General features: G+C 37.3%; 1 protein-coding gene across 8 annotated transcripts in view; it reads left to right on the top strand.

Annotated features, from left to right (window-relative positions):
- GPATCH2 (G-patch domain containing 2) overlaps window positions 1-20,546 on the top strand; it is a 204,099-nt gene that overhangs the window by 103,784 nt on the left and 79,769 nt on the right. For 7 of the 8 annotated variants that reach the window (XM_017001592.3, XM_011509690.4, NM_018040.5 and 4 more), the window contains exon 6: window positions 12,418-12,485. In XM_017001592.3, the coding sequence (XP_016857081.1) occupies window positions 12,418-12,485 (68 nt within the window). Of the gene's footprint in view, window positions 1-12,417; window positions 12,486-14,643; window positions 16,904-20,546 lie in introns of those variants that run through there. The other variant, XM_047423800.1, reaches the window with a different exon arrangement.

The following is a 20,546-nucleotide window of genomic DNA, read 5'->3' as shown; positions in this document are numbered from 1 at the left end:
TGACCGACTTTATAAACCAGTGCTTTCCAACCTTTTTGACACCAGAGACTGGTTTCCTGGAAGACAATTTTTCCACAGACTGGGGGTAGGGGGATGGTTTGGGGATGATTCAAGCACATTACATTTATCATGCACTGTATTTCTATTATTAATGCATTGTAATACATAATGAAATAATTATATCATTATTACATTGTAATACATAATGAAATAATTATATCATTATTACATTGTAATACATAATGAAATAATTCTACAACTCACCATAATGTAGAGGTAGTGGGAGCACTCAGCTTGTTTTCCTGAAACTAAACAGTCCCATCTGGGGCTGATGGGGACACAGTGACAGATCATCAGGCATTAGATTCTCATAAGGAACACACAACCTTGATGCCTTGCAGGCACAATTCACAATTGGGATCACACTCCTGTGAGAATTAAATGCCACCACTGATCTCTCAGGAAGCAGAGCTCAGGTGGTAATATGAGCAGTGAGGAGCAGCTGTGAATACAGATGAAGCTTTGCTTGCTCGTCTGTTGCTCACCTCCTGCTGTGTGTGGTTGGGGTTCCCTGCTATAAACAACCAGATTTGGGATAGACATTTACTTCTATCAAGGTAAAGCTAATAAGTATTTCAAAAATATGACAGTCTGACTGTGATTATTTACTTAGAATAGATATTGGCCAAAAAATGTTAAAAGTTTTAGGTTATTTGGGATTTTTGTTGTCATTTATTGAGTATGTAATATGCTAAGATTATGCTTACACTGCTATTTGTTAACTAATATTTTACCTCTTTTTAATTAACTCATTCACTCATTTATTCATACCGCAAAGAATAGTTTGCAATATGTTGTACTTTTGTACTTTTTCCCTCCCCCATCAAATCATGATTACATACTTTTTTTTTAGCTATGGAAATTTTTAGTGCAATTAATGGTATAGTAAGGTCTTGAACTGCATCACGTAAGATTGAATGATTGAATGGTTGCCTGCATGTTTGTTTTAGGAGAACAGCCTGTACAGAACAATATTTTAAGTGTTTTGTTTGCTAAATATAAACCATATTAAGTTGTCAGTTTAAAAGTGTTGAGACTATCAGCATTTTTCTTATAAATTACTATTGGTCCTTGAGATTCTTAGAAACGCTCTTTTAATTATAAAAACCAGCTGTAATTTTTTCCCCTGATGTAAATTAAGGTTTTATGCAACACCACTATCAGGTTAAGAAGAAATTGACTAGTTTATGAAAACACTTTGAAAAATAGTAGAAATAATACCCAGTTCAAAAAGTATGCACAATGGATGATATGACACATTGTTGAATAATGTGGAAAGAAAATAAATTTTAGCTGCCAAAATGTTGATCATGTGATTTTGAGTACCAAAATAATTTAAGTAGTTTGTAAGCAAGCACTTAAAAGTTTTCCTAGTCTGCTTATATTCTTAAATAAATTTTTAAAATGTGCATGTAGAATTTTTTTCAAAAAGCTATATTAATAATTTGTTATGTCCTCAAACATGTTTGCTGAGTCTCACCATTATCTTCACTACCGTATTGCCCTCTGACCTCTTCTGCTACCCCCCAAAAAATTAAAAAGAAGACAATTAATTTTACATGTATTAAGCTTCAATATGCATAATTCTCCCTAGGAATGAACTACTGAGATCTCTTTTAAGTCTTATCTTTTATATAATAGGCTCTATATAACCTAAGCAACAAGGAGAAAATACTTTCTGGCTTTTATTTTCTATGTATGTGGGTTTTGTTTTTTAACCTTTGGTAAAATTGTGGGAAATGGGAATGAAGACTTTAAACATAAAATAGAATGTTTATTCATTGTATGAAATTCTTTAAAATAGTTGAACATTACTTTTAAAGAATGACTCAAATGTCCAGAGAGATAAAAAAGATTTTTATAAACAAATTCCTTGGCAGGAACTACATTATGTGCTATGTATTTCAGGATAATAATAAGGGCTTACTGTGGGTCAGTGTGTCATATCCCAGTGGTGTCTAGTGAGATGGAGGGTTATCTTATATGTCAGCTAGATAACCCTGTGAACCATTTTGAGCAGGCAAGATAATGGGACTGAATTCTGAAATGAAGGTTGAAATATACTGGAATATTGTTACATGTGAGAACAATCACTTCTTAAAATAAATGTAGTCACCTTTTGACATCATTAGATATATTTGCTAATAATTTTTAATAGAGTATATTTAGGTAAATAGATTGGGTAAAGGATGAAGTGAATTAAATATATGATTATATATTTAAATAGATAAATAAAAATTCCAAATTTTCCCACACACGAGAAGCTTTTATTATTAGGAAGCTGCTGAGCAAAAACTGAAATCTCCCTCTCCCCTCTCCCCTCTCCCCCCTCCCCCTCCCCCCTCCCCCCTCCCCCCTCCCCCCTCCCCCCTCTCCCCTCTCCCCTCTCCCCTCTCCCCGGTCTCCCTCTGATGCCAAGCCGAAGCTGGACTGTACTGCTGCCATCTCGGCTCACTGCAACCTCCCTGCCTGATTCTCCTGCCTAAGCCTGCCGAGTGCCTGCAATTGCAGGTGCGCGCTGCCACGCCTGACTGGTTTTCGTATTTTTTGGGTGGAGACGGGGTTTCGCTGTGTTGGCAGGGCTGGTCTCCAGCTCCTAACCGCGAGTGATCCGCCAGCCTCGGCCTCCCGAGGTGCCGGGATTGCAGACGGAGTCTCCTTCACTCAGTGCTCAATGGTGCCGAGGCTGGAGTGCAGTGGCGTGATCTCAGCTCGCTACAACATCCACCTCCCAGCAGCCTGCCTTGGCCTCCTAAAGAGCCGAGATTGCAGCCTCTGCCCGGCCGCCACCCCGTCTGGGAAGTGAGGAGCGTCTCTGCCTGGCCGCCCATCGTCTGGGATGTGAGGAGCCCCTCTGCCTGGCTGCTCAGTCTGGAAAGTGAGGAGTGTCTCTGCCCAGCCGCCATCCCATCTAGGAAGTGAGGAGCGCCTCTTCCCAGCCGCCATCCCATCTAGGAAGTGAGGAGCGTCTCTGCCCGGCCGCCCCGTCTGAGAAGTGAGGAGACCCTCTGCCTGGCAACCGCCCTGTCTGAGAAGTGAGGAGCCCCTCCGCCCAGCAGCCGCCCCGTCTGAGAAGTGAGGAGCCTCCGCCCGGCAGCCACCCCGTCTGGGAAGTGAGGAGCGTCTCTGCCCGGCAGCCACCCCGTCTGGGAGGGAGGTGGGGGGGTCAGCCCCCCGCCTGGCCAGCCGCCCCATCCGGGAGGTGAGGGGCACCTCTGCCTGGCCGCCCCTACTGGGAAGTGAGGAGCCCCTCTGCCCGGCCAGCCGCCCCGTCCGGGAGGGAGGTGTGGGGGTCAGCCCCCCGCCCGGCCAACTGCCCCGTCCGGGAGGGAGGTGTGGGGGTCAGCCCCCCGCCCGGCCAGCCGCCCCATCCGGGAGGGAGGTGTGGGGGTCAGCCCCCCGCCCGGCCAGCCACCCCGTCCAGGAGGGAGGTGGGGGGGTCAGCCCCCCACCTGGCCAGCCGCCCCGTCCGGGAGGTGAGGGGCGCCTCTGCCCGGCCGCCCCTACTGGGAAGTGAGGAGCCCCTCTGCCCGGCCACCACCCCGTCTGGGAGGTGTACCCAACAGCTCATTGAGAATGGGCCATGATGACAATGGCGGTTTTGTGGAATAGAAAGGGGGGAAAGGTGGGGAAAAGATTGAGAAATCGGATGGTTGTCGTGTCTGTGTAGAAAGAGGTAGACATGGGAGACTTTTCATTTTGTTCTGTACTAAGAAAAATTCTTCTGCCTTGGGATCCTGTTGATCTGTGACCTTACCCCCAACCCTGTGCTCTCTGAAACATGTGCTGTGTCCACTCAGGGTTAAATGGATTAAGGGCGGTGCAAGTTGTGCCTTGTTAAACAGACGCTTGAAGGCAGCATGCTCGTTAAGAGTCATCACCACTCCCTAATCTCAAGTACCCAGGGACACAAACACTGCGGAAGGCTGCAGGGTCCTCTGCCTAGGAAAACCAGAGACCTTTGTTCACTTGTTTATCTGCTGACCTTCCCTCCACTATTGTCCTGTGACCCTGCCAAATCCCCCTCTGGGAGAAACACCCAAGAATGATCAATAAAAAAATAAAATAAAATAAAAAACTGAAATTTTTTTTCTTCTCTATTATGAATACTGAATTGACATTTCCTAATACAAGCAAGGTTTTGCCTTCTTAATTGCTATTTCATTTTGAATATAAAATTACTTCCACCCAAACATAGGAGCAATAATATAGAAATTTTTTTAATTGCTTTGGATTACTATGTTTCCAAGATAGTATTTTCATAAACCATTACATAAAATGTTAATCTGTTTTTTAAAGTTACAAATTCTTTCAAGTTTTTAAATTCAGTCTTCTTTGTGTTTGCCTCCAAAGTCAGTTTGCCAAGCCTAAATATAAACTTAATTTTGAGAAGTTGTGTGTGTGTGTGTGTGTGTATTGAACAAGTCCCCAAAACTATTTGTTTTTAAATGCAGATGTGAATTGCTTTGATATGAATTGAGTAAGAAAATCCACATTTAGATTATCATGGTATATAAATTAGAATTTTAGAAGATATATAGATTGCCAATCTAATCCAAGTGTATAGCAGTGGGACGAAATGATGGAAGTTTTTTACACCATCTTATATACATTTTGTTTATTACTTTGTCATTTATTCATAAAAGAAGATCTTTAGGCACAGTGGATTTTACGTAAACATATGTGGCCATATCCTTACTTTCTTGATGCTCATAATATTGCAAGGTTCATAAATGAGGGATTTAAGAAGCCTTTGGTCAGCCAGTAGAGGCCACTCACAGCTTGTTACTAAAACTGGACGGCAAAGTGAAATTCTTTACTATCACTATTGGGCATCATTCTGAGCTGGTTAATTTTTAGTTCTTTACTTAAAAAAAATAGTATTACCATGGAGTGGTATGAAAAAAGTTGTTGCTGTATTTGTTTTTGAATTATTTAGTGATTAATCTTTTTTGTGAAAGCATTTAGATCTTTTATTAGTAGTGTATACCAGAAATGAGAATTTATGTATTTAATAATTAGAAGTATTATTATTCTAATAGACCAATAATTCTAAATTCTTAATTATCAATGCAGAATGGCTTTAACTAGGAAAAAATTGTTTACAATGAAGATTTAAAACAATTATATTGTTTAGTTTTACGTTAAAAACATAATTGCTAATGTCATACATACAACTATATGTGTATGTATATATTTCTAAACAGTATAATTTTCATTCTGTCATTTCATAGAGAAATATATTTGCTGCTCTTACTTAAAAATATAGTGAGATCGCTTCGAAACTAACTGAAGTCTATGTCTTTATTCACTACTTAATGCAATGCTGGCAGCTGTAAGGTTAGCATCTTCCCTGCAACACACGTGTACGGATTCCTCTAGGAAGGCAAATCCTCAACAGAAAGACAAGCCTTGTACTTCTCTATGGTTTATCTTTGGCTATTTTTTTTTTAAACAAAACCTTTGTGGTTTAAAGATGTAATCACGTATTTAGATTTATGTCTGCTTTCAAAGGAAAGATAGCCTAAGTTCTCTAATTTTCCCCCAAGTTCTTTCACATATTCTCATCGCGGAGTGTTTACTCCTCTCCAGTACACTTTGTAAATGTTAGCCTTCTTTTGCTGTAATGATTAGTAGGGGAGCCGTTTGTTATTCTTGTTAGTCCTTCTATAATATGTGCTGGTAACCCTGTTTAGTGCTGCCATGCCCTGCATTGCATATACTTAAAATAGCCCGCATGCTACCCAGAAGTTACAGGCAAGGTCTAGAGTATCCTTGGCTGAAGATTTTCCTAGAGTGTATTCTAGATTCAGGCCATCATCTCCTGGGACAAATCCCCAAATACAGAAAACATTTGTTTTGATATATCATCTTTTTTTTTTTTTTTTGCAGTCTCCCTGTAGGGGAAAAAGTACTAGGTGGTAAATTGGACAATTTTGGTTCAAAGTTAGCTTAATTCCATTCCTATAGTCTAGGGCATGTGCCCTCACCTCAGTGAGTGTTAGTTTCTTCACTATTATTTGAGAATAATGATGTTTCTTCACTCTAGGCACATTGTTTATGAAAAGCAAGCCATAAGGTAGGCTATAAAGAACAAGAGTGGCTGGACACTGTAGCTCATGCCTGTAATCCCAGTACTTGGGGAGGCTGAGGTGGGAAGATTACTTGAGGCTGGAAGCTCAAGACCAGTGCATGCAACATAGCAGGACCCCAGCTCTATACAAACTTTTAAGAAGTAACTGGGCATGGTGGTACACACCTGTAGTCCTAGCTGCTCCAGCAGCAGAGGCAGGGGAATTGCTTGAGCCCAGGAGTTTGAGGGTGCAGTGAGCTGTCATTAAGCTATGAGTTGTGAGTACTCACGCTTGGGCAACAGAACAAGACCTTGTCTCAAATAAGTAAATACACTTAAATAAATTTAAACAAATAAAAATAAGGATATTATTATTAATGACAATAGAAATATTTCTAATTATATTAATTTTTGATATATCTTTTGTGATCATTATTACACATTCTTTGTCAGTTTGTTCATGCTTAAGCCCTTCCAAGAAAGATTTAAAATTGCATTGTAAAAGCATAACAAACAATATAGAATTTTTACTTTAACCTTGACTAACAGGTAAAAATAATCAGTTTCACCCACTATACTATAATTTAGATAACATGAGGGCTATGACTAGTCGATACTATATAGGTCCTAGTTCAAAGTCTTTTCCTAAAAGTCATACAGTGTGAGCTCTGCTAATAAGAGCAAGATTGTTTGTCAATATTGACATTTTTAAAGATATGAATGATAGGAACCTGATGGGCCTTTTTGTACCGTTATTAGATTTTATAAAATTCCAAACTTTGAGGCATTTTCTCCATTGGAAAACTGAGTTATATTCCATAACCTTAGTAATTTTCTACAACAGTTTTGAACTCTCTAGCAATTCAGTTGTCCTCAGGAATGGATCATCTTCCTTCCTGAATATTCTTTCTAGGAGGACATTGTCTGAAACTAAAAGATCTGGTAGGTAAGGATTTGTAGTGACTTCTCCCTAGCATTAGACATATTACCAGGAATACATTAGATGTTCTAGTTTTTATGGCGTATATTTCATATGCACCAATTTTTTCATTTCTTGTAGCCAGTGATGAGGATTTTTCCAGGCCTGCCATATAAACACATTTTTACTTTAATAGAAATCTAGACAGATAAAGGTGAAACATGAATTATTACGTGAATTATATTTACTAATATTTTTCATGTTTAAAAAACAACAATCAAAAAAACCCTTGGAATTAGAGGAGTTCTATAACTTGACTTTATCAAGACATCAAAAAGATTAGTTCAGGTGAACAATATAACTAAAATCACCCAACTGAAAGGGAACACATATCACTTATTATATAATAAGGTTAAGCATAATTTTATATGTACATTAGGTTACTAGTGGAATTGTACCAAGTAAGCAGTACTGGATTTAAAATAAGAAGCTCTCAGTGGCTGCATAAGGTGCTAGATCACATTGGCAAGTAGGTAAGGATCAGCTTAGGGAAAGCCTTGCATGCATATCTCATTAATTTTCATTTTACTTTCAGTGTAAGCCATAGTTGGCTGTGGAATGAGAAAGTTGACATGTGAAAAGCAGCAATTTAGAAAGTTGAATTTGGCACGTTGGTAAGATGGATTGGAGCAGGGGGGAGATAATGCATGCAACTCCCTTCTTAGAGGTGATTTTTTATTCCTCTTTATTCCTCTTAAATCAGATAACTACTTTGTTTCCTTTTAATCTTATAAATGATATCCAATTTATGTTCCTTGAATTATCACTTTTTGTATTTCTTTTAAAAGCAATTCTAAAGTAATTTTTACATGTTTGTATGTTGCTTTAAAAGTAATTTTAGTGTTATTTTCTTGAATATGTTTCTCATCCCCAAACAGATTGTGCTTTTTGTGATTTGTGACCATTCTGTAATATTATAAGAATAGATACACAATGAAATATTTTATTCATTCCTCAAACTGTCTTGTAACAGAACTTATAAAACGCCAATATAAAACAAAGGTGTGCTCATTTGAAATGCTTTCGAAGAATCTTCCTTTATTCTTCTGTATGGGGATAAGAGATAAATATTCAACACATTTATTTTAATGTCTATTAATTAAAATGAATTATTGTAAAACATTTAGAATATTATCTTACTTAAAAGTCTTGTTTCTTTCTTCAAAGAAGTTGAGTCAAATTAATAATTGCCGTAAGAGAAACCAGAAACCTCTGGGTCTTGACAAACTGGCCGGGAGGCTGAGGCAGTGCCTCCCGACAGCCTGGAGGCCAGGCAGGTTTGATTGACCAGTCCTCACAAAATGGAAAGGCCTTCTTTTGAATGGCAGCTTGCCAACATAAGTGTTTGTCAGTGTGGGCACTGAAGCAGAGTAGCATTTGGAAGGCAAATAAAATATAGTTGAAAAGCAGAGCGAAGTTGAAGGGGACCAGCTATACTAGAGGGAGAGAAGAAAGGATGATGGTTTCTTGTTCTTACGTGTGGACATGAAAAGAAACTTCATTAATTTACAGAAGGAATCTCAATCATTGAGAATATAAGTAAGATATCATCCATATTGAATGGCCTCTGTATTAATCTTACGTGACTCTTGTGTCTCAGATAGGTTTACCTGATTTGGAGAGTTATTCAGTTATGTAATTGTGGAAGAATAGTATGGCATGCATTGGGTTTGATAATGACACAATTAAATGAAAATGAGACATAAAACCAACTTTTTATCTTTTAAGCAAAATTATAAAATTGGTATCAATACATCAGGGACAAAAAGAATAAGAAAATGCTTTTAATATGTCTTATAACTTTGAGAGAACAGACATTTTGTCATTGATAATTGATCATTTAGCAGAATTTCCAATATATTGGTACATATTGACCTCCTGAATCGATAGTGGTACTTGTACAACTATTGTTAAATTTTCATCTCTTGCTACTACATTCTTATTTCCTGAGACTGATAATATTTAAACAACAGCAAAATCTAAGATCCATGTGATCTTTTAGAATTAGGACACAAAAGTTATGTTATCTAGAAAGCATCAATTCCTTTCTAACTTTCAGTTTACTTCTTAAGACTTTGTGTGATAAGCGTCTAATAAAAAGAAATATATCTGCTTTATTTCAGATTGTAGTCGTTATTTATATAGTAATATTTAACAAATGAATCATAAGAATTCAGGGCGTGTAATGTGATGTCTAAGTTTATCAACACTAAATATTGGCTAATTACATAAATGATTGTCTCCAGAGTTTTGTCAATTATAAGAATTGGATTGTGGAGATACTGTTTCTCATGAAGAACAGAATACCTGTTTCCTGTCTAATCTTATGGAATAAAATGTATTTTTCTTACTAATAAACTTTACTATGTGAATATTTTATTAGATATTTAAAGTGAAACAACTTCTTAAAATTTGTGATTTCTAAGACAGTTCTGAAATCACTAAAATTAGCATGTGTTTTGGAGAAGAAAACAGTCACCATACTTAATTATATGCTAGAAATTAATACTTTGATCTGATGTTTAAAACTGCTTCTTTAATTTTTGTAAAGATTATTTTCTATCTTGAATTAATGATAAGACAGAAACTTTTAGAAAGAATTCCTTAAGTATGTTCCTTGAAGTTTTATAATATTTTGAAGTAGTCTCCTAATAATCAGATTAAACATGTTTTAAAGTTTAAAATTCACTGAAACTTCAGTATAACACTGCTTTCCATAAGCCAAATTCTATATTAAATATATTGTTCTCAAATTTTAGGTAAGTGTGTCTAGTTGCCACAGTAGCAAAAGGTTCTCATTGTAAGAACATTTTACTCCTGAGGCAGACCACTGACATTGACCCTGAAGAGATCATTATATGTTGCTTTATTTCATTAAAAAAAGTAAATTTCTAAATTATGCCTATTTTGCATATCTTTAAAAGTAAAACAGAAATTGAACTAAAATAACAATAAAGGATAGTCACCTCTGTTTTCTTAAAGGGATCATGTACTAGGTAAATAGGTAAAATTATTTAAGTATCTATACTTGAAACTGTAAATCTTTTGTGGGTTACTTGCTGCAGTTGAACTGAGCTTACAGGTTTTTTATACATATATATGATTGCTGAGAAATACATAGTATGATTATTTCTGACTAGATTGAAAGCTTACATTTGTATTATGGTATAAATTAGCTATAAATTCTGTTTTATTGCATTCAGTTGCTTTGTTTTCATCAGGCAATTTATCACATGGGTGTATGTGAAATTTCTTCATTTATTAAATTTCAGATTATGTATTTCAAGCCAGAGCAAGACTTAAACATTTTTCCATAAGTATAGCTTCAGGTAAACAAACAATTTTAGTCCTGAAAATAGCTTCTGCTTCTGTCAACACGTTGTTTATTTTTTCTCTGAGATAAAAAGTTTAGTTTTCTGATATTTGTACCAAGATAAAGTCAGTAAACAAGATTAATATAGTGTGGAAAAGGTTGTCAGCAGCCTTGGCAAAGGAAATAAGTTGCCTGTACATAGAACATACTGTAAACTGAATAAAAGTGTCAGGTCCACCATGAGATAATGTGATCATGAACCTCTAACAAAGCATGACATAGGCACAGTCGGCTTTTCTCATAGCCACAGTGTAGAAAATGGATTACTGTATTCCAGGGATACCCACTGGAATAGCATGAAAACCTCATTTTGAGATGAATGCAGGATGCAGTCCTGGAGTTGAGCCACATGTTTACCTGTGGCGCTCAAACCATAGGGTTATTAATGTCATCATCTGTGCACATTTGCAGTATTTGCATTTCTTGGAATTTCTGAGTATATACTGGCATTCTTGTAACCCAAGTGATACGGGAAGAAGTAAGGTTTTGAAAATGTTAGGGTTTTTTTAAGAGGAATTTTATTGCTGTCTCATGCTTTTCCCCCCATTCTATATAAATGGCACTTCTATAATTACAGAGGGTTTTTTTTTAAAATTAAAATGGAACATAACTTAAAGCCTTTTGCTGTAAATGTATGCCTTGTCATTTGTGACTGATAGATTCATTCTTGTACAGTGCTATGTTCCCTTTGAGAACCATCTATATGATAAGAAAGTTGTGAAATTCTAAAAAAAAAAAAGGAGTAGCTTACTTTAGATTTTAAATTTTATTTAGAAATAAAGGAGTGAAAATATTTTTCTCTTAGATGAAATTGCATTTTGTACTGTGTAAATACACAGATGACTCCTGTCTTTTCGGGGAAACTATGAAAAGGGCTGCTCACCACTTCCTTGATCTAAGTTTTTGTATATATTTAAATGTATGTGTTATAATACATGTTATTTATATTTAGGATCTAGCTACAAATACATTGGTCCTCGGAAATATCTGCTTAACACTGATCTAATTAAACTTTTTTTTTTATGTAATAAGTCACTGGTCTTTTTTTTTTTTAAAGGATATTTACACTATTATAAAGAGTCCTTTTTTTAAAATTTTTTTTTAGTATTATTTTGAGACAGAGTCTTGCTCTGTCACCCAGGCTGGAGTGCAGTGACAACCTCGCAGTCCACTGCAGCCTCTGCCTCCTGGGTGCAAGCGATTCTGCGGCCTCAGCCTCCCGAGTAGCTGGGATTACAGACGTGTGCCACCATGCCCGGCTAATTTTTGCATTTGTAATAGAGATGGGGTTTCACCGTGTTGTCCAGGCTGGTCTCGAACTCCTGACCTCAGGTGACCTTAGCCTCCCAAAGTACTGGGATTACAGGCGTAAGCCACTGTGCCCGGCCAAGATTCTTTTAAAATAGTCTTAAAAATCTAGCAGAGGAGTCGGGCGCGGTGGCTCACACCTGTAATCCCAACACTTTGGGAGGCCGAGGCAGGCAGATCACGAGGGCAGGAGATCGAGACCATCCTGGCTAACACAGTGAAACCCCGTCTCTACTAAAAATACAAAAAAATTAGCCGGGCGTGGTGGCGGGTGCCTGTAGTCCCAGCTACTGGGGAGGCTGAGACAGGAGAATGGCGTGAACCTGGGAGGCGGAGCTTGCAGTGAGCCGAGATCGCGCTGCTGCACTCCAGTCTGTGGGACAGAAAGAGACTCTGTCAAAAAAAAAAAAAAATCTAGCAGAGGAAATACACTAGACCAAAACAAGTGAAGTATTCTTACCAGGAATTAAATTATACTTTTGATCCACACAGTGTTGTCTGAGATTTGAAAATCTTGTATTCTCCATTTTAGAGTGATGTCTTCAAATTGATATATCACTATTATCCATGGTCGTTTTATAAACAAATCTGAAATTTATTTTTTCTTTTTAAATCTCCCTGTAGGTACCCATTCCTGGCCCAGTGGGTAACAAGAGAATGGTTCATTTTTCCCCGGATTCTCATCACCATGAGTGAGTACTCAGTGTGTTTATATAACCTTATTGGAGTATTCTACTTAGCTCTTTTGGGAAATTATTAGCTACTACTAGTAAAGCTTATTTAATTTGTACTTTTTAAAAAGAGTAAGTATAATTTACCATTGATAATAATGTAAGAACAACTTAAACGAAAACCATGACAAAATTTAAATGGGGATTTTTAAATATAGTTATTCTGTTATTTGTGATAGTATTTGAAATTCATGCATTATTGAAATTTATGTATTGTCTTAAAAATTTAAAATTTTCATTACATTGAGTAGCATCAAGCTTTCGTACTCCTCCATCCTTATTCTCTATCCCAACCCTTCTAAAATACTAAAATGAAGAGTAATAAGCCAGTCATGGTGGCTCATGCCCATAATCCCAGCACTTTGGGAGGCCAGGGTGGGCAGATCACCTGAGTTCAGGAGTTTGAGACCAGCCTGGCCAACATGGCGAAACCCATCTCTACTAAAAATACAAAAAGTATCCAGGTATGGTGGCACATGCCTGTAATCCCAGCTACTCAGGAGGCTGAGGCAGGAGAATTGCTTGAACCCAGGAGGTGGAGGTTGCAGTGAGCTGAGATCATGCCACTGCACTCCAGCCTGGGCAGTAGAGTGAGACTCCATCGCAGAAGGAAAAAAAAAAAGGAGTAAAAGACTGTTTTGCTTTTTTTGCGGGGGGGCCAGGCATGGTGGCTCACAGTTGTAATCCCAGCACTTTGGGAGGCCAAGGCGGGCAGATCATCTGAGGTCATGAGTTCGAGACCAGCCTGGCCAACATATCGTGAAACCCGGTCTCTACTAAAAATACAAAAATTAGCTGGTCGTGGTGGCGCATGCCTGTAGTCCCAGCTACTTGGAAAGCTGAGACGGGAGACTCACTAGAACTTGGGAGGCGGAGGTTACAGTGAGCCGAGATCGCTCCACTGCATTCCAGCCTGGGCAACAGGGTGAGACTCCCATCTCTCAAAAAAAAAAAAAAGACTGGTTTTCTTCATTACTTCTCTACTTTCTGCTACTGCCAAGCATTTGGTAATAATATAAAGACCCATGAAACAACCAGAATATATTTCCATTTTGCAACAAAAGGAAGAGACTACTTACTAGATAATTTTTTAAAACTAAGTAGTTGTAGCTTTGACTTTGGTAAATTATTGCTTGAATTTCCAGGGGTTAATTCGTTCTGTAAATACATCTTTGTTGGAAAAGCTTAACTTGTTGTGTATTTTAGAGCAATACCATATATCTCCTGCAAATTTGATTGAACTTTTAAAAAGGCCATAAAGTATGGGAAGACATGAATTAATTATTGAATAAATTTTTTGTGGCAAGCAATCATATTAGGATCCATTAGTTTCTATTTTTTAAAATCACTACTTAACAAATATAAAATAGAGATTATTGTTCAGATATAGCAAAATGATATCATAATCTTATAGTGGCCTATGCATTCAAAGTGCTTGATGCATAGACTATAGAATTGTTGAGAAGGTAGGCTAATTTTTTTTTTTTCCCTGAGACAAAGTCTCCCTCTTGTCACCCAGGCTGGAGTGCAATGTCATGATCTCGGCTCACTGCAACCTCTGCCTCCCGGGTTCAAGCGATTCTTCTGCATCAGCCTCTCGAGTAGCTTGGGACTACAGGCGTGTGCCACCACGCCTGGCTAATTTTTGTATTTTTAGTAGAGATGGGGTATCCCCGTGTTGGCTAGGCTGGTCTCGAACTCCTGACCTCAGGCCTTCTGCCCACCTTGGCCTCCCAAAGTTCTGGGATTACAGGTGTGAGCCACCGCGCCTGGCCTAAGGTAGGCTATTTCAACAAAAGTTCGCATTCAGGAAATGAGATACTTAATACTCAGCATGCCACAACGCATATATCCAGTTTGGCAAGCAATTCTCTCTCCTCTCTTGGAGAACCTAACTTGTTATTCTTCCTCTGAAGATCTCAGCTGATATGTTCATTGCAGCAGATGCCTTACAGGGTACTGCACAGTTTTATCAGCCCATTTCTTGTTGGTGAAAGTAAGGGGTTTATCATCTGCCTAAGGAACTAAACAGTCACAGACTCTTGTTGACCAAGTTGTTTATTTCAGCACTAGCATTTCATCAAAAATATAGTGGTTTCTGTTGTGTTTGTTGTTGCAGTTTCATGCCAGCAAATGCTGCTGGCCTCCATGTTCTTCCTCTACTCTTAGTCTCCTTAGTTTAATGGCTTCGCCCTGAGGCAGTTCAAAGCCATGGCCTCCAGCAGGTAGGTATAGGTCTTTAGGAAATCTTTGTCAGCAGGCTCATGCTCTTTGTCAGAGAAATCCTACACAGAGGTATTCAGGAAGATCTAGTCATTTTGCTTGTTAAATCTAGCTTCCATGCCACTGCCTGTTTCCATTTAGGGGTTCCAAACATGGTTTCCCCAATGCCATTCCCTAATTATAAGACTTTAATTCAATTCAGATTATATTTTGTTTTATTTATTTATTTTTTTAGACAGGGTCTTGCTCTGCTGCCCAGGCTGGAGTGCAATGGTGCAATCACTATCATGGCTCACTGCAGCCTCAACCTCCCAGGCTTACGTGATCCCCTGGCCTCAGCTCCACAGGTAGCTGGGACTACAAGCATGGGCCACCATGCCTGGCTAATTTTTCTTTTTTTGGTAGACATGTGGTCTCACTGTGTTACCCAGGCTAGTCTTGAACTCCTGGGTTCAAGCAATCCTGCCACCTCCACTTCCACCTCTGGGATTACAGCCATGAGCCACCATGCTTGGCCTTGATAATGTTTTATAGGTTCATTTGGTAAGTCTGTATTTTCATCCCTTTCTTCAGGCGCACCCCTTACCTATGTAGAGCCAATGTGGGGGAGGTCCCTTACAGACCCCACTCTTGACAAGGAGAAGCCACAGGACACCACATCATGGGAATTTTCTTTTACACAAATAAATAAGTATACAGGCAACGCTGTATAGACACAAACACACACACACACACACACACAGACTTCCAGTTAAGTTACATAGGTTGATGCCCTTCTAGGGACTGACCTGCCTATCTGCTTTAAAACTGACTCCATTTTACTTCAGCTTGTCTCTTTTGTTGCTCTAGGAGAAAAACCCAATATCTGAAATTTTCCCATCAGGTCCTTTAACAGAAGAAGGTATATGGCCAGTATCCACTCTGGGCAGAGAGTTTTAGTTATATGCTTCCCCAACTTCCTAGCTGGAATAAGTGGTTCTATACTGCCTGTTACCCTTCTTTCATTCCTCCTGCTCCCTGAGTTAGATACATGAAACTGACTCTTATTATCAAATTCAGCATCTCATAGTAGAAAAACTAAGGTGTTCATACCCTCAGGATATACAAATAATTTCTAGCAGAATCAGCAGTAGTTTTAAGGGAGTCAATTTTCAAATCCCTTGCTTCCATTTATAGATGTCTTTCCTGAAAATTATCAGCCCTGGTTATTTTGCTGGTTCTTACTTTTCCCAGTGCCTTTCTTCTTCCTTAGGGAAAAAAGACACCCCTACCAATCCTAATCTTTGGTGCACAGTATAAAATCTTTCCGGGCTGTAAACAGAGATATTTCAGATATTGTGCTGGTATTGATGTGGAGGGATTGAATTTAATGAATACATCATAAAGCATTTTGCAAATTTAGGTATATAGTTTCTAATTTTATTTTATGTTTATTTTATTTTATTTATTTTATTTTTTCTTTTGACACGGATTCTCACTCTGTCACCCAGGCTGGAGTGCAGTGGCGTGATCTCAGCTCACTGCAACCTCTGCCTCCCAGTTCAAACGATTCTCCTGCCTCAGCCTCCAGAGTAACTGGGACTACAGGCGTGCGCCACCACGCCCAGATAATTTTTTTTGTATTTTTTTAGTGGATACAGGGTTTCACCATGTTGGCCAGGCTGGTCTCAAACTCCTGACTGCAGGTGATTTGCCCGCCTCAGCTTCCCAGAGTGCTGGGATTACAGATGTGAGCCACTGCACCTGGCCTCTAATTCTTTTTTTTCAGCAACTGGTAGATTATTAAAAATATTTCTTAACCTAGAAGTCATTTTGTGACTTTGGGCACAAAACTCCGAAAGTGTTTAAATAATCAAATGACTGCTCTAACCAAGTTCCTTTTATTTCCATTTACCAATTTGTATGAATAAGATTTCTGAGCACTCTATAAAATTAAAAGATGGTGATAGAATTGGCACTAAAAGACGTACTCATCAATGAACTAATTTTGGGGGAAAGCTCATTAATGATGCCTTTCTAATAAAATTTTATTTTTGTGTTTACTGTTGTTTTATTTTTTATGTTTGCTGTTACCCGATATATTATTATATATTAAATATATATTAAACAGGAGTTTAAGAAGAAAAATAAACTATGTAAAATTTTCAACTTTTAAAGAAATGTGCATCCTGGTTTGGTTTTTGTTTTAAATAAATGGTGGAGGATATCAAATCACAATAATATTTATGTCCCAATGTATATATTTCAAAGAGTAGCATAATGGTTTTATTTTAAATTATCAACATGTTGATAATTTATAATCAATTATAATTGATATAAAATTAAATCCTTGCAAATGTTTAAATTTTTGTTGAAGAATATTAGATGTCTTCCTAAACTTACATGAGGAATTTTCATAACTATTTCAGGCAATACATATTCAAAAATGGTAAAGACCACTGTTGTATAGCATGCTTTCAGGAAAAAGTAACAGAATATTCTACAAATAGTGGTTTAAACAAATAGCAGTTTAGTTTACTGATAGAACCAGAAATCTGGAAGGAGGCAGTTTCAGAGCTATTGAGGAAGCAGTAATAGTATCTGCTATAACCTACTTTAAGGAATCATTGGTGTTTCCCCTCAAATTCGTATCAGCATTCTCTATCTCTCTTATTTTTTCCTTTAAGTTTTATTTTTACTTGATTACAGTATTTATCATATTATTATTTGTTGTATAATTATAAAATACATGTTTTATTCCCATTAATGGACCAAGAACTTGCCGAGGTTGGAAACTTTGTCTTGTACTTTGAATCTCTTACAATGTACATCACAATGCGTTACACTCAAATCATAGGCTCTCGGTTCAAGATTATCAAGTTCTACTGCTGGCTAGTGATGGAAAGCATTCAGAAGGCACCAACTGAATACTTGTCAAATACAATTGATAATTGGCAGAAGAAGCAAGTACTAGAGCTAGAATGAGCCTTAGGTGCTGTCCAGTCTAGTCACTTGATTTTTATAGATGAGAACTTGAGGTTCAGAAAGGCTCAGTTCAGAGACTAGCTCGCAGAAGATATAAGACAAATCACCACCAGAAATAAACACTAAAATTGGTCATCACTGGATGATGGGATTGCAGGTTAGTTTTGTATTTTACTGGGAGCGGGTGAGGTAGGGGTACATGTTAGTATCTACCAAACTTTATTTCAGTAGACATGTTGCTTTTATATTTAGAGGATGAAAAAGCCAGATGACTCACTCCAGACTGGAGTGCAGTGGCGCGATCTTGGTGCACTGCAACTTCCGCCTCCCAGGTTCAAGTGATTCTTGTGCCTCAGCCTCCTAAGTAGCTGGGACTAGAGGCGTGCACCACCACCCCCAGCCACTTTTTTGTACTTTTAGTAGATATGAGGTTTCACCATGTTACCTAGGCTGGTCTTGAACTCCTGACCTCAAGTGATCCACCCGCCTTCTCATCCCAAAGTGCTGGGATTATGGGCGTGCGCCACCACTCCAGGCTGCAGTCTTATTTTTGAAGACAGATACTGAAAAACCTTCCAGAGTGTCATAATTATAAAAACGCGATCATTTTAATAAAATAACACAACAATGTATGAATTGTCTTAAATAACATCTAGTAATTATTTCCTTGAAAAACATATTACTATATTTAAAGTCTAATCATTAATGTATGATAGGTTTTTTTAATCAGAAATATGTAGCACAGAGAAATGAAATACTGACTAAGATAACTAGAGAGCTACATGCAAAAAAGACAAGAGCCTCAATCCAGCTAGAGAAATTAGTATCTAATTTCTCAGTAAAAGTAACCTACGTTTTGAAATTCTCTTTTAATTATTCTGTTGACTTTTTAAAACTACAAATATTAAAATGTTAAAAATAAAATTAATATATGACTACATTAAAAATACATGTAAGCATAAAAATGGAGTTACTTCTTATTAATTTGGCCTCCATTTATGTACTCTGTACATGGTTCCAGAAAGTTTTCCTTTCTTTTTCCAATCACTTATGAGATACTTGCTTTTAAATAGAGATAAATATGATTTATTAATCGATTGTGCAATTGATATATTTTACTTTTATTTCAGTTTGAAGTAGAGGATATTTACCTGAGGAATTGTATGTAAATCAAACTTATTTTAAATGCACATGGGTAACTCATTATAATCCTATGATGAATTCCTTTATAAAGCAAATACTCACCCCTTATTTTATCTTTTGTGTAAATATCGAGTTTGCTTAAAGCAAGATTTGCCTGGATTAAAGGTTATTTTCATTGGGAATACTTTTACACTTTGAAATTTAGCATCTATTGCTTTATAGTGAAAGTGTCTTTAACTCTAGACTGAGATAAATAAGAAATACAGATCGATTCCTCCTCTGATTTATTGTGATTCCCATGGGTGAGTCATTTAGCTTACGTGTCTTAAGTTTATTTATAGAATAAATATAATACAGTAACAGTCCTTTCTTATATATTTTTACAAGGTGCTTAGGTGTAAAATACAGAAATATTATTAAACTAGGTATGAAACATTTCAAAATGATGATAATGATGACATACTTTATATTGTACACTGTATTTTATTTTTTCAGATAATTTTCATATGCACCACTGTTTTTAGTATTTTTACTACCTCTCTCAAGTAGTCATAGCAGGTATTAGACCCCATTTTATAAATAATTTGACTTTTCTAAAGTTACACACTACACATCGCTCAACCAAAAGTCAATTAAAAAGACAAATGTATTAAGCCTCTATTAATTGTTGGTTAACATGCTAAACCTGTTAGGGTATAAGTAATGCCCTTTAGCACTTGTTTCTTTATAGACATTTAGAAATTAAAAGGTAATTATTGCATGTTAAAACTTATGGAATAAAAGTTTACATATTACTATATTCCACTGTACTGTTAGGGGAAGAAAATTAATATTTATTTTAAACACCATCTGCCAATTTATTAGTGTTGTTTTAAGTCTTACAAATACTGAGAGTGGTTAATTTTATTTTATGCATGAGGAAGAAACTGAGACTCAGAAAATAAAATAATTTGTCAGAATTCACCTAACCAGTAAGTTCCAGAGCCTGTATCCAAGCTTAGGTCTTTCTGATTTAGTAACCACATCAGGCTGAACTTCCTGAATTTACATTAGCAGTTTAATACAAGAAATAAAGTTTAGCAGGGCCTCTTGAGCATAATTTTAGAGTTGACTTTTTGTTACATACAACATGTTATTGAGTGAGGAATACCGTTAGCATCCTGGTCTTCTAGTCCATAGAACATAAGAACCCAAAGGAATCTTAAAAGATCACACAGCCCAGTGTTCTCATTCTTTTACCTTCATATAGAACAGCATAGCAACCATAGTTGATGAAACTCCATCCTGTATCTCAAGTCATTCATTTGTCCATTCATTCAGAAGATATTTATGAGGGTGTACTAGGTGCCGGGTGTACAGTAGTGAATAGGATGACATGATCACAGTTGTTGTGGTTCTCACATTACTCACAGTGTGATAGAGGTAATAGAGATTACTCAGTAAGCACACACACAAATGTATAATTATATGCTGACACATAAATGCATTATTATATACTGAGCTAAGTACTCTAAAGAAGAACTTGTAAAAATTGAATTTGAACTAGACATTGAGATGGGGACGGCTAATGAGCTCTCTAGGATCTAAGTGAACTGGTGGCAAGAAGAGCTTTTCAGGCAGAGAAAGTAATACGTATTGTGTTCAAGAAACTAAAGGATTCTTATGCTAAAGCATATTGAGCACAATATAGGA

The sequence above is a fragment of the Homo sapiens genome, chromosome 1, assembly GCF_000001405.40.
Source record: "Homo sapiens chromosome 1, GRCh38.p14 Primary Assembly".
Lineage (NCBI taxonomy): Eukaryota > Metazoa > Chordata > Mammalia > Primates > Hominidae > Homo > Homo sapiens.
Note: the sequence above shows the minus strand (reverse complement) of the source record. Positions and strands in the feature narration are given on the sequence as shown.